Source organism: Homo sapiens, chromosome 7, assembly GCF_000001405.40.
Source record: "Homo sapiens chromosome 7, GRCh38.p14 Primary Assembly".
Lineage (NCBI taxonomy): Eukaryota > Metazoa > Chordata > Mammalia > Primates > Hominidae > Homo > Homo sapiens.
The window spans coordinates 158,127,514-158,142,003 of NC_000007.14; the positions used below are offsets into that span (position 1 = coordinate 158,127,514).

The 14,490-nt window shown below is 49.4% G+C and overlaps 1 protein-coding gene across 14 annotated transcripts in view, besides 2 other annotated features; it reads right to left on the bottom strand.

Annotated features, from left to right (window-relative positions):
- The window catches only part of PTPRN2 (protein tyrosine phosphatase receptor type N2), a 1,048,768-nt gene that overhangs the window by 588,458 nt on the left and 445,820 nt on the right, over positions 1–14,490 (bottom strand). For all 14 annotated transcript variants that reach the window (XM_047420678.1, NM_130842.4, XM_047420679.1 and 11 more), the window contains 3 exons: positions 10,781–11,002; positions 9,142–9,182; positions 6,164–6,546 (listed from right to left, as the gene is read on the bottom strand). In XM_047420678.1, coding sequence (XP_047276634.1) covers positions 6,164–6,546; positions 9,142–9,182; positions 10,781–11,002 — 646 coding nt within the window. The remainder of the gene's footprint in view (positions 1–6,163; positions 6,547–9,141; positions 9,183–10,780; positions 11,003–14,490) is intronic.
- Positions 5,847–6,389: an enhancer, noted in NCBI's record as "H3K4me1 hESC enhancer chr7:157926052-157926594 (GRCh37/hg19 assembly coordinates)". NCBI's record gives its function as "activates a minimal SCP1, AML or CMV promoter by ChIP-STARR-seq in primed H9 embryonic stem cells {active_cell/tissue: H9 hESC(primed)}" and the evidence as "EXISTENCE:reporter gene assay evidence [ECO:0000049][PMID:30033119]".
- Positions 9,685–10,567: an enhancer, noted in NCBI's record as "H3K4me1 hESC enhancer chr7:157929890-157930772 (GRCh37/hg19 assembly coordinates)". NCBI's record gives its function as "activates a minimal SCP1, AML or CMV promoter by ChIP-STARR-seq in naive and primed H9 embryonic stem cells {active_cell/tissue: H9 hESC(naive and primed)}" and the evidence as "EXISTENCE:reporter gene assay evidence [ECO:0000049][PMID:30033119]".

The following is a 14,490-nucleotide window of genomic DNA, read 5'->3' on the forward strand; positions in this document are numbered from 1 at the left end:
GTGGGTCAAGGGCCCAGGCCACCTTCTCCAACAGCACTGTGGCCGCCACCCCAGACTCAAGCCTCTGCCTCAGCTCCCATGTTTTCCTGACTACAGGTTTCACTTCCCCAAAATCCACCTCACTGGCTCAGCGTGGTCGTTCCGCAGAATACATCCCAATCCAGTGGGGTCTGGGGTAGGCAGAGAGAGGCATGTGTGTGTGAGCCGTGGTCTCTGAAGCTCTTGCCTCTGGATTTAGAAGGCAGGTTCCTCTTTGCTGAGAGGTAAGGGGCTCCCTCCTCCCTATACCTGGTGTCCGTCCTGTGATTCCTTCTGGAAACCTAACATGAAATCATTTTAAAGTTGTCCTTGGAGGACTGGGGCGGCTGTCCTGCCCTTCGTCCAGTCTTCAAGAATCCCTCTAGTTTGTAAAAAGGATAAAAATGTAAATGGCAAAGGATTACTGTGTCCATCAGAAAATGTGAGAGAGAAAATCATGCCTGGAAAAGCCGAGCCCTACCATCCTCCCATCTGAACCTCAGCACCAAGAGCATGTGGATGCTGAGGTGACACCGAGTTCTAAACCACATTCCTCTCCTTTCTGTGGGACAACCAAATGTACAAAAGTCCCCCTTTTTTAAAGAATGCCATCTGTGTCTTGGAAATTAATAGCTGATCTGTTAAGGTTTAAGCTGAAATCTGGTGAAAACTTGCCCAAGAGAATCACAAATTATTAGTCTGATAATAGGGCAAAAACCTCAATCTCCTTGCAAGAAGAGAGGAGACCTCACCTAGTGCATCACACCTTGCTCAAGCAGTACAAATTGCTGACAAAAAGCTGTGCTGTCTTCACCAGATAGCTTCCAACCAGTTGAAGTCGCAAAGGAAAAGAAAAGAAGTCAGCCAAGATAACATGATGATTTTTTTTTTCTTTAACCCACTGCTCATAGGAGGTAAATATTCCAGTCCAAAAGGCATGGCCGGCAAACCCACTACAAGAAAATAAACTCGAATGCAAAGAAAAGCCCTAGCTTTTTTCTACTGGAAAGTCACAAGCACAGACAGGAAATGACCCAATGTGATAGGTCTCCTTCCCCAGAAAGTGCGAGGCTGCTGCAGACAGGGGCCCTCCTGTCCTTCCCTCCAGGGTGAGCCCATTAGCAGCAATGGCACAGGATTGTCGGCTCTGAAGGTTCCCTAGCAAACCACACCGGCCTCCTGCTCTCCGGGTGAACACCTCGGCATCCATTTGGAAAGCCCTTAAAATGACCAGATCACTGGTTCTCTGGGGCACTCTCCTACCCCGGGGCAGGGATGGGCGGCCGTCCCCCTGCAAGGGTGGCTCAAGTCCCCAGGACACCTGCAGGGAAACACACAGTGTCCACGAACACAACATGGGGGCCTTCAGGAGAAAAGAGGGCTCCAGCACAGAGTGAGGAGACACAGGCAACCAAACACACACACACACACACAACATACCCCACACCACACCTACAACACACACCACACCATGCAACACACTATGTGCCACACACACCACATATACAACACACTGTGCACCATGCACACACACCACAAATACAATACACACCATGCCACACACTACACACCACACACAACACATAAACCACACAGCACACCACACACTACACACATACACTACACACCACACACATACAACACATACCACGCCACACACTACACACCACAAACAGATAAGCCACACAGCACACCACACACGACACACAACAGACACCCCACACTACACACCACACACTACACACCACACACAACACATAAACCACACAGGACACCACACACTACACACATACTGTACACCACGCACTACACATAACACACACCACACAGCACACCACACACAAACAACACACACCACACACTACACACAACAGACATGCAACACATACCACACCATGCAGCATACTACATACCACACACCACATATACAACACACTGTGCACCACAACACACAGCACACACACACACCATGCAACATACTACACACCACACATACAACACACACTACACACAACACACATGCAACACATACCACATGCAACACACACCACACATCACTACATTACCACACACACATCACATAACACCCACACCACACACAAAGCAGTGTTTCCTAGGGAGGGAGACGTCCACAGCACAGGGCGTTTGACCACCCATAGGAATCGGTCATGATAATGGTCTGCGTCACCCAGTGCTGAGGCAGGCGCCTCCCCTTGGCTCTGCTGGTGCAGACACGCAGCCTCAGAACACATCACTTAGGGCCTGCCTGTGATTCTCCACTGGGCTTGAGAGCAAAGAAATGAACAGCCATGAGAAGTTCCTGACTCTACAAACAGGAGAGCAAGGGCACAGACAGACACGTGGGACGCCTCCTCCAAGCAAAGAGCCTGGAAACGGGAAAGCTCATCCTGACTTATGTAAAGCAGTCTTGAGAAAATGGAGTCCATATTTTAGTGTAAGCTTCAAGTTTCTGCTGCTTACAACTTACCTAAAGATACAACTAAGATAATCACCTACAGCTGAAAATCATCTTAAATTTTAATTTGGCTTTGATACACACTCTGCGGTTTGAGCTCAAGATAAAATATTTCTGCCCAATTATGATATGCAGCTAATTCTCCCTGATGAAATGTAGCATCTGCAGCACAGCGACAGCACCAGCCCGAGCACTGCGAGGCTCGCAGAGCCCGCAGGACAGATGGGTTCTAGCTGTCATGCAGCTCCCACCTCCAGTGCGAATGATCCTCAAAATAAGAGGTACTTCTTCACCAAGGAAGAAATACCCGAACAGACGCACATCATACTGATACACATCTACCCGACACACACACTCATATACACACATGCACATATGCACACACTTCTACCCAACACACACACTCATACACACTCACACACACACGTACATACAGATACACATCTACCCAACACACTCATATACACACATGCACATATGCACAAACTTCTACCCAACACACACACTCATACACACACACGTACATACAGATACACACATCTACCCCACATACACTCATATACACACATGCACATATGCACAAACCAATACACATCTACCCTACATACACACTCATATGCACATATGCACAAACCAATACACATCTACCTGACTCATACACACACACGTACATACAGACACACACATCTACCCAACACACACTCATATACACACATGCACATACGCACAAACCAATACACATCTACCTGACATACTCATATACATACATGCACATATGCACAAACCAATACTCATCTACCCAACACACACACATACACACACGTACATACACACACATCTACCCAACACACACACTCATATACACGCATGCATATACGCACAAACCGATACACATCTACCGACACACACACTCATACACACACATGCATATGCACAAACTGACACATCTACCCAACACACACATATACACAAACACACATATGCAGAAATCGACACACTACCTGACATACTCATATACACACACTTATACACACACGTACATACAGACACCTGCCCAACACACACACTTATACACACACGCACATACACAGATACACATCTACCAAACACACACTCATACGCACATACACACATACACACACAAATACCCGAAGATGCACATCATACCAATACACATCTACCTGACATACACACTCATATACACACACGTACATACACACACACCCAACAAACACACATACATACACACGCAAATATGCATAGACACAAATACCTGAACAGATGCACATCATAAAAATACACATCTACCCCACATACACACTCATACACATGCACATTTGCACAAACCAATACACATCTACCCGACACACACACTCATACACACACGTATATACAAACCAATACACATCTACCCAACACACACACGAACATACAAACTGAAACACATCTACCTGACACACGCACTCATACACACACACTTATACACACAAACCAATACACATCTACCCGACACACACACTCATACACACACACGGGTACATACAAACTGATACACAGCTACCCGACATACACACTCATACACACACACGAACATACAAACCAATACACATCTACCCGACATACACACTCATACACACATGCACATACACACAAACCGATACACATCTACCCGACACACACTCATACACACATGCAAATATGCACAGATACACACACATCTACCCAACACACTCATACACACACATGCACATACGCACAAACCGATACACATCTACCCGACATACACACTCATACACACACACACAAATACGCAAATACACACATCTACCCAACACACACACACACAAATACCTACAAACTGATACACATCTACCTGACATACACACACATGGGCATATACACAAACCAATACACATCTACCCGACACACATACACACACATGCAAATACGCACAGATACACATCTACCCAACACACACACTCACACACATGTAAATATGCATAGATACACATCTATGACATATACACTCATACACACACAAATATGCACAAACCGATACACATCTACCTGACACACACACACACGCACATATGCACAGATACACACACCTATCCAACACACATACACACACACGTACATACACAGATACACATCTACCAAACACACACACATATACACACACACGCACAGATACACACAACGAAATACCCGAACAGATGCACATCATACGGATAACACATCTACCCGACATACACACTCATACACACACACACGCACAAACTGATACACATCTACCCGACATACACACTCATACACACACATGCAAATAAGCACAAACCAATACACATCTACCCGACATACACTCATACACACACATGCAAATAAGCACAAACCAATACACATCTACCCGACACACACTCATACACACATACATATGCACAAACATATCGACACAACACACACTCGTATACACACACGCACGCACATGCACATACAGATGCACACACATTTACCCAACGTACACTCATATACACACACATGCATACACAGACATCTATCCAACACTCATATAGACACATGCATATGCACAGATACATGTCTACCCAACATACACACTCATATACACAGATGCAGATACACATCTACCCTACACACTCATATACACACAGATACACACACATCTACCCAACACACATTCATATACATACGCACAGATACACATTTACCCAACATACACTATACACACACGCACATACACATCTACCCAACACACACTCATATACACACACATGCGTATGCAGATACACACACATCTACCCAACATACACACTCATACACACACACACCTACCCAACATACACTCATATACACACACATACAAACGTGTGGGTGTGTGTACATCCAGGCAGACACGTCCTTCTCTTTGAAACACCAATTCTATCACTTGAAGAAAACACAACACTTGTACAAAGCAAAGCATCAAATGTCAGATTCATTAACGGGGTGACCTGAGAACGGGCCAGCCACTTGTGCCTTGCTGGGCCCGTGATGTCTGAATTCTGAGACTCGTTAAGTTCAGATCGACATGAGGGCGGGGAAAGAGGCTCGCTGCTGTGAAGCCCCTTCTTCCTTCTGAAGGGCGCCCACGCCAGGATATTTGGGCCACTTTGGTGCAAAACAGATAAAGCACCTGGAGTCCTTCCTAACAGGCAGGAGGAGTCCGGGGTGCAGCAGTTTCCAGGGCCGCGTCCCATCCCGCATTCCCGCGCGGGCCGTGCTCAGGCTTTGCTGTACACTTACCTGCCCCGAGACCCCACCCTGCCTGGCCGCCGCTGAAGGTGATTCTGACCCGCAGAGAGGCGCGGCCTGCAGGTGACCAGTCAGGACCAAAAACCCAGGAAGGGATTTGCTTGGTTTGGTTTTGTTTGATGCCCTTCAGAGAACGGCTCTCCAGCTCTGGAGCCCAGCTCAGAAGCATCAGGAGGAGCCACTGTCCAGGCACCTGGCTGCCCTCCGCGCCTGAGACTCCAGGGATGCCTGCACCCCATTATTCAGTTGAAGACACTTAAAAGCGTATGCATCCGCCACAGCAAGGAGGCGCCCCACCTCCAGCCTGCTGGGACAAGCCCTCCCTCGGCACACAGGAGCTTAGCCAGGGCTGCTACTCACTCTCTGTCTGTCACGATGTAGCCCCGCGCCTCTTCCTCGGAAGGCTGGACCTCCAATTGCAGGCCGTCGCTGAGGGCCTCCTGAGCACCCGCTGGAAGGCTCTGCTCCTCCTTCGAGGGCCCAGGCATCTGGTTTTGGAGCTCCCCAAACGCAGCGGCCCCGGGCTCCGAATGCGGCTGCTGCCCCAGCAGATCTTTGGAATACGTCTGGCTCTTGACGTTCTCCACTCCGGCAGTCTCCTCTTCTGAAGACAGGGAAGACTCAGGGTGCTCGGACTTCTTCCTCTCCATGTCGAGGGGCCTTGCAAAGGGGAGGGCTCCAGGTAAGAGTCGAGACCCGTGGTCCTGCAGGAGGCCCCCGAGTGTGGCACTCAGACGATGGACCTGACAGAGAGGACATTCCGTGAGGGACGTCTGCGAAAGGAATGCTGATGTGACACATGCAATCAAGGGCTGCCCGGGACAGAGTCACTGTGGGGATGACATGGGCAGCCTGGAAGGAGAGTGTGGGAGGAAGGCGAAGTGTGTGCAGTCTATATTTAGAATGATGTCTAGCCGAGCATGAGGTGTGAGGGCGCTGAGTATCCGAATCACTTACGTGCTGTTTTCTCCTCCCTCCCGCTCCCTCTCACACACATGCTCACACACACACCTCTCTGAAGAATCAGATTTTGTAGAGTTTGTGTAGGTCTTTGGCATTGATATTTTTAAAAATAAACTGTGTGATATCAAGATCCCACCCCAGCCCTCTAGAAGCAATGAACACTAAATAATAATAATAATAATAACAAATTTGCAACGACTGAGCTCTTCCAGCACACAAAGGCACTGTACTAAATGCGTTATCTGCATGAACACACTGAGTCCTCACGTAAGCCTGTGGGTGGGGCACCCTCAGTAACCCCAGTTCACAGAAGGGGAGACGGAGGCACAAAGCGATTAACCCACAAGTGGGCACATCACAGGGATGTGTAATTGATTCTAACGATACCTGAGGGATCTGTGGTCCTCACACGGGCTACAGTCTCCCAGCCGGATCCCCTTTTCCTGGACAAGCCATCCCTCGGAACCCCCTGGCACCTCTGCTGACTATGCACCGGGTACAGATTTGCTTTGTGTGGGTTCTCATGTAATTACTACTCCAACCCCATAAATAAAGGGTGAGTTTCACCTTTAATTTGTAGACTCTGGAGTTTACAGAGGTTAAATATCAAATTATTGGTACCAGATCACAAAAGTCGTGATTATCAGATCCAGAATTGGAACTCAGGTCTAAGGGCCATCAAAGACATGATCTCCACCCCTGGGCCGCACTGCCCTCCCAGGCACCCTACACTGCTTCCTAGGAAAGACCGGGTCTGCTCCTGCCACTGGCACATACCAGGCAACCCACGGACACCTCCTGGTGCATGTGATGCCAAAAGTCTTATGTCTACTTGGCAGGGTTTTTTTCCAACCATGAAATTATATCTTCAATATTATATTAGATGTAAACAGGAAAATCTGATTCACTTTACAACTCACTTTGCCAAAACACACTTTTAAGAAAATTAAGGAAGGACTATAGAGGCAATTATTCCCATTTTGGCTACAAATTACAACTTTTCCTTTTGTATTTTTTAAAATTTAAACAAAATAGTAGTGTGATAAAAACACTGCTCAAATTTGGATCCTCAATGACAATAGGATGTAGCCGTTGACGTTACTAAACAGAGCTAGGAAAAAGCATAATATTGTCACTTAAATTGTGTTTCATGTGAGAAGAAAAAGAAAGATGTTTTTAAATAAATAAGAAGTCAGAAAATACAACACTCACATACCCTTTTTGAGAAACAGAATTGCTTGAAAATACACCCCAAACAACAGAGAACTGAGTCAGAATTCCACGCATGGAGGATGAAAAGCCTGTGGTCTAAAAGTCAGGGAGTCTTAGGCTAACGGCAGCCCCCCAGAGCGCTCCCTGCCCCTCAGGTGGGAGGGCTGGGTCTCCCCGACTCCCTAAATTAGGAAATGTGTTTCTCAGCCCCACTTCTCCCTCCACAGCTCAGACAGCAGGTCCCATCATTTCTGATGGATATTCAAAACCAGAACTGCTGATGTTTTCTTCCTGCACTTGCCAACAGGCATGGAACCACTAACCAGTAAGAGAATCTGAGGAGAGAATGACTAACCAAAGACTCTTCTTTCTCCACCCCCAAAACTGGGTTTCCCAGAACCATGCAATGTCACTGCTGTTGCTTAGAACGGTTCTTCATCCTTCGGCCTTGTATTCACGACCAAAGGTTCTTAAAGGGAGAGAAACTAAGAGGCTAAAAGACTTAACAGGGAAGGCCAGTGTCTAGCTCGTGGACATCGCCTGCGACTGGGCCCTTCTTCTGACTGCCTCCGGAGCAGCAGTGCCCACGGGGGCTCTGGGATGGTGGACCGTCCTCTTCCTGTGGCATCCAGCGCCTTGGCCCTGAGCCACATGCGACTAACGTGCCGCCGACCTGAACCCAGTGCGGCCAAGGCACTGCATCTTTCATTTATTTAATTTTATTCAATTTAAATATAGGTTTAGATGGCCACATGTGGCCAGAGGTGCCACACGGGACAGCCAGGTGTGAGTGAGCTGAACCCCTCAGGAATCCGCACATGCAGGAGGCATCAAATGTGCAAAGTGGGCACAGGCTGCCGTGTGATAATCCTGGCTGGGAAATTCCAGGAAAAATTAATTTTCTTCTTTGCATTTACCACGACTTTCATATTTCTACCATGGATAAATTAGGTTATAATTTGAAAAGAGATATTTCGTATCCAAATATACACACTTTTGTATGTTCTCTTTATACTGTTTTTCAATTTGGAGATTATGAGGGGTTTCTCCATAATTTTCTGGGAAAAAAACTTTTGTATTTCATAAATGTTCCCACACCATGAACAAAAAGATCACCAACTTCCACATTTAACATGAAACAAACACCAGAGACGTCATCTTACCTCTTGGTAAAGTCTATCATCGTCGTCCTGCACTCCGTCATCTGTAAAAGACACCAGTGTTACCAAGACCCTCATCAAGAATGTCATCACAGGGTGCCACAGACATAAAAAGGGTGACCCTGCAGACCCCTCCATACGAAAGGTGAGGTGTGATGACGCTGGCCTAAGTCCTGCCATAGAGTAAACCTTTTCTGTTTATAGCACAAAATGGCATTCTGTAAACTTCGCGAGAGCGGAGGGGACTGAGGAGCTAAATGGTAGACGTGAAGGCAGCCACAATGACCTCACCCAGCTCTGGGGGTCTCACGTGATCGACAAAGTTAACTCACGGCAAAAAAAAACCCCATCGTACCGAGCAGTTCACGTCATGAAAAAGCAAAGTGAAGCCTTCGCCAAAACCACCTCACAATTAAGATGGCTTCAGAATCCACTGACTTAGGTTATTTCACTGTGGTCAGCGTTTCTCTCTAAATAGGTACCCCGGCTGGGCGCGGTGGCTCACGCCTGTAATCCCAGCACTTTGGGAGGCCAAGGTGGGCGGATCATGAGGTCAGGAGTTGGAGATCAGCCTGGCCAACAGGCGAAACCCCGTCTCTACTAAAAATACAAAAAATTAGCTGGGCGTGGTAGTGCACACCTGTAATCCCAGCTACTTGGGAGGCTGAGGCATGAGAATCACTTGAACCCGGCAGGCAAAGTTTGCAGTGAGCCGAGATCACGTCACCGCACTCCAGCCTGGGTGACAGAGAGAGACTCCATCTCAAAAAATAAAATAAAATAATAAATAAATTAATTAATATCCTACTTTCAGTGCCCAAAGGTGCGTGACTCATGGCACCTGAACAGTGCCCCTGGAGACAGCACGCACACCAGGGCCTCCTGCATCCCTCCTAGCCATGGTGCGGGTCCCGATTCCTTCAACCACTGGGCGACCACCTAACACAGGCCCTCCCGGGGTGCAGTTCCACTACTCCCCTGCACCCTGCCTGTCAGCCAAGTCAGGCTTCCAGCTTCCAGCAAGGCCCCCTCTGCACCCGTGCAGAGAGAGGGGCACGTCTGTCATTTGGTTTTCAGCACGTACTTGTGGGGCTGCCATGTGTGGGGAGCTGAGCTAGGTGCTTTCTTGCAGCTCCACGCTGTGAGAAGCCATCAGGCTGCAGAAGTCCTGGCTGACCCATGGGGCCTCCACAGGGCTCCGGATGCCTGCCGGGGTAGTGGTGCTGAGGGGCTGCCTTCTGCTTCCCCAGCAGCCTCAGAGGACCAATGCACGCCCCAAGCAGACATTTGAATGATCCCCTCTCACTCTGCTATTCAAATATTTGACAATATTCACCGGTACACAGTCCAAACACAACACTTCCCATCACGCCTGTTTTCCTGACTCAGCCTCAGCATGGAGGAGTGAAACCTCCTCGCAGAGAGCAATTTGCCATTCAACATAATTGCTCTGGTAGGCTTAGTCTGTTAAGAAAGCTTTTAGAGGCAAAAGTTCAAACAGATAAAAATCATTAATACAGATCCCCATCTCCCCAGCAGAAAGCCCACATTGCACTTGGTGAGCCAGCAGTCTCTGCACAGCCCTGAGGCCTCCCCTCCCCGCAGCACCCCTGGGTGTGGGCACCCATGGCGCTGCAGTCACCTGGAAAGCTGTCTCCACGGAGGGTGGCCTTGGGGCCATCCGCCTGTTCTCCAGACTCTCCCAGGGCCGCTCTCCCAGGGCTGCCTCGAGCTACTCCATGGTCCACGCCTTGCATCAGGCCAGCCATCAGCTCAGCCATGCCGTCCAGCTCCAGGCCACTCAGGCCCCTCACCTCAGCCGGCTGCCTCTGCAGGTCCTTCAGGAGGGTATGAATCCGTGCTCCTAGGGGCACACACACAAACACAAGGACGTTGTGGGTGGACGAATGCAAAGGTGAGGGCCTCCAGACCATAGGGGTGTGGTGGGCGTCTGCGGCGTCCCAAGGCAGTGGCCACCTAGGGCCAGGCGCAGGCCAGTGCTCAGAGAAGATTGGGATATTGGACTTGAATCTCAAATCCACCTGACCCTGTAACCATCACTAGTTCAGTTCCCCAGAGGTGGAAAACCCACAGAATGGAAGGACAGACTCATCCACGCGCTCAGGAGGATGGAAAGCACAGCTTCCAGAAAACACTGGAATGACCAAGCCAGGAAGAGAGATGGGCTAGGCAACTTCACCATGTCCTCCAGAGGATAAAAGAATGGGATGAGCTGTGTCCCCCTCACTTGGCAGAAGGAGAAACAATGCCTGGCAAGGACAGCGCCCTGCCCAGGACACCCTGCCCAGCACACCCTGCCCAGCACACCCTGCCCAGCACACCCTGCCCAGCATGGACCAACTCTAATTACATCTAAACACAGCCACACAGGGTCAAAGCCTCGTCCAAGAAAGTAACTGCTGCCGGAAAAGCCCCTTAAAGGAAGGTGGCAGGGTCTAGGCCCCCACTTCACACAAGCAGCAACAGATGCAGGAGGAGGCAGAAAAACAGAACCCGAAATTGAGAATAGGGCAGTCGATGATTAGAGCGAGGAGACAAGGCCATTTGTGGAGCTGCCATAACCGCGGAGAGATGTGTGCACCCGCTGCTCAGCAGAGTGGGGAAATTAAAACAGAATCCAACACACATTCTGTAAGTGAAGAGCACGGCGTCTGAAATTTAAAATTTATGTCCATTACGGGTGGACATAACGGAAGAAACGGTTTGTGAATCTGAAGACAGATCATAGAAGCGATCATCGTTGGAAGAACAGAATGGGAGACGTTCTGCAGAACCTCAGTCACCCCTGGGGCATCCAAGCCGTCGGAGTCAGGAGGGCACGGGGGGGTGGGAAAGGAACCAGAAACACCTGAAAGAAAGCCCACAAGTCTCTCAAATCTGGGAAGGATTGTCACTCAGGGACTCAAGACAGTCACTAAGTTCCACGATAATAAAATGCAAGGAGAACCACGCCATGACTTCAGCTGAGCTACTGCAAGTCAGAGATGGAGAAGATTCCTGGAAAGCAGCGGGGGCGGGGCGGGGGGAAGACACGCTCCACACATGAGAATGGAAAGGGTCCCAGGAGCGCAGAGGCCGCCAGACACCCTGCATGTCCTGTAAGAACAACGTATTTCATACAATGTGCAGAGTCAGGCATTTGACGTTACAGATAATGAATGCCACATTTGAAGGGTTGAAAGAAAAATCATTCAATCCAGGAGTTTATATCCAATGACAATATCCTTCAAACGAGAGGGTAAAGGAGAGACATTTTCATATCACGTATGTGAACAAAGCTGAGCCAGTGGGTCCCTGTGGGCCTGCACACAGGCTGAAGAGAAACACCACCACACAGAAGCCCAGAGCTGCGGGAGGAGCCAAAAAGCTCCTGAAAGGGTAAATATGTGGTTACATAAACAAGAAAGACCGTCTTCTTTTCTCCTCTTACTTTATCTAAAAAACAACTGATTGTTAGCAAGGAAAAATTATTACCACTTTAAGGTAGGGTTCATAAAACAGCTGCAGGCATGAACTGGATGGCACAAGAGGCTAGAGGGAGCTGAAGCCTCCTCACCGCGTCCAGGAAGTGGCACAGTGACAACTCCGAGGAGACTGTTTCAAAGGCGCCAGGGCGTTTCAACAGAGAAAGGAAAGTCTTTTCCAAAAGGACATCTTCCGTATTACCCAGAAATTGGACTCGTAAGTATTTACCCGAGAGAAGTGAAACCCGTAACCATGAGAGTTAAATGAGACTGTGGGTAGCAGCCTGACTCCTCATAGTTCCACAGACAGAGTCTAAAGTCCATGTGCCCGGCAGCAGGAGAGCGGATAAGGAGGCCACATCCACACCAGCACTGAGCCAGAAGGAACCACAGAGACGAGAAGGGGGACAGACCTAGAACCAGTCAGGCTGAGTGAGAGAAGCCGGTCACCAGAGAATCCACAGAATCCTGTTAACAGAAGATGAAGTTCAAGGATGGGCGAGGTCTGCCCAGGGCAACCAGAGCCGCATCACCTGCAGGTGGGGCTGGGGCAGGAGGAAGCGTCGGGTGTGAGGGTGTGCCGTGCAGCGTGGCCGCTGGTTCCAGGCCCACATGCGTCCAACGCGTCATCGTGTCCACCTGCGGTCTGCGCATCTCGCCGTGTGTATACTCCCCCTCAACAGCAGCAATAAAGACTCTGCCCTAAAGAAGGTTCATGGGCCCATTTCCGAGCTTTGAAGGAAAACCTGACTTTCTTTTGTATTCAGTGTTGAAATCTCTGTCCTCATAAAGGTTTATGTAAAATAGCTCATGGCCACGTCTCTACCTTCCCGAACGACACCGGCAGAGTGACGCAGAGGGGACACAGAATGTCCTGACCTCAGTGGGGTCTCACCACGACCCTCCACTGTAGGGGGGTCCCGCTGCCACCCTCCACGCTAGAGGGGTCTCACCACGACCCTCCACCCTAGACAGGTCCCGCCGCAACCTTCTGCCCTAGAGGGATCCCACTGCGACCCTCTGCCCTAGAGGGATCTCGGCACAATCCTCTACAATAGAAGCGGAGGAATTATTTCTGCTTTTTACAAATTAAGAAATGTAGGCATTTTAGGTTTTTTGTCTGCGTCAAATGCATCACCAGGCCTGGGCTGCAGCCTGCAGTGTCTGCACAGGGCTCGACAGTGGCACTGCCTGTGGCACCCCCGTTCACTCAGCCGCACGTCCCGTCCTCTCTCCACAGCGCAGGCTGTGTCTAGTCCATGCCGAGGCAGCGGGGCCGGCACCCGGTCCCCACGTGCCCCGTTCACTGCATACGCAGGACAGGAGTCAGTGTCTGGGGCCGCCTAGACTCGCATGACTTTCCAAACACAAGTGCCGATGGCCTGTGGTGGGTTCTTTGAGTGAAAATTTTTTAAGTGCAGTCTCTCTTGCCCATTAATTGAAGCTGGTTCTTCAGGGGGCGTCTTGCTACACGGCTGTAAGGACACATTTTTTGAAGTGTTTTGCTTCATTTCTGAACACTCTCTGCTGCACCCCATCCCCCACCAGGGTCTCGCATGGAAAGGGTCACAGCCATGACCCTCTGATTTTCCCCTTTGAAAACCTGAGTCCTGTCAGCGCCACTCCAGACTTGCTGTTGATGACTAAGACCCTCTGATGTAAAGGCCTGAACGTCCATGACAGGCATTTCTGAGACAGCATTATGTGTAGTTTAGCATGGGATGAAGCGGACAGAGTCCTTTAAAGTCAATCTGTACACGAAATGTGTGACGGACACGGGCGTTCTGATCGGAGCGTGCTGGGCGTTCACTGCCACCGATGTCCCCTGCTGGGGTGGCCGAGTGCCCCGCTCTGGCCGACGTTGAGG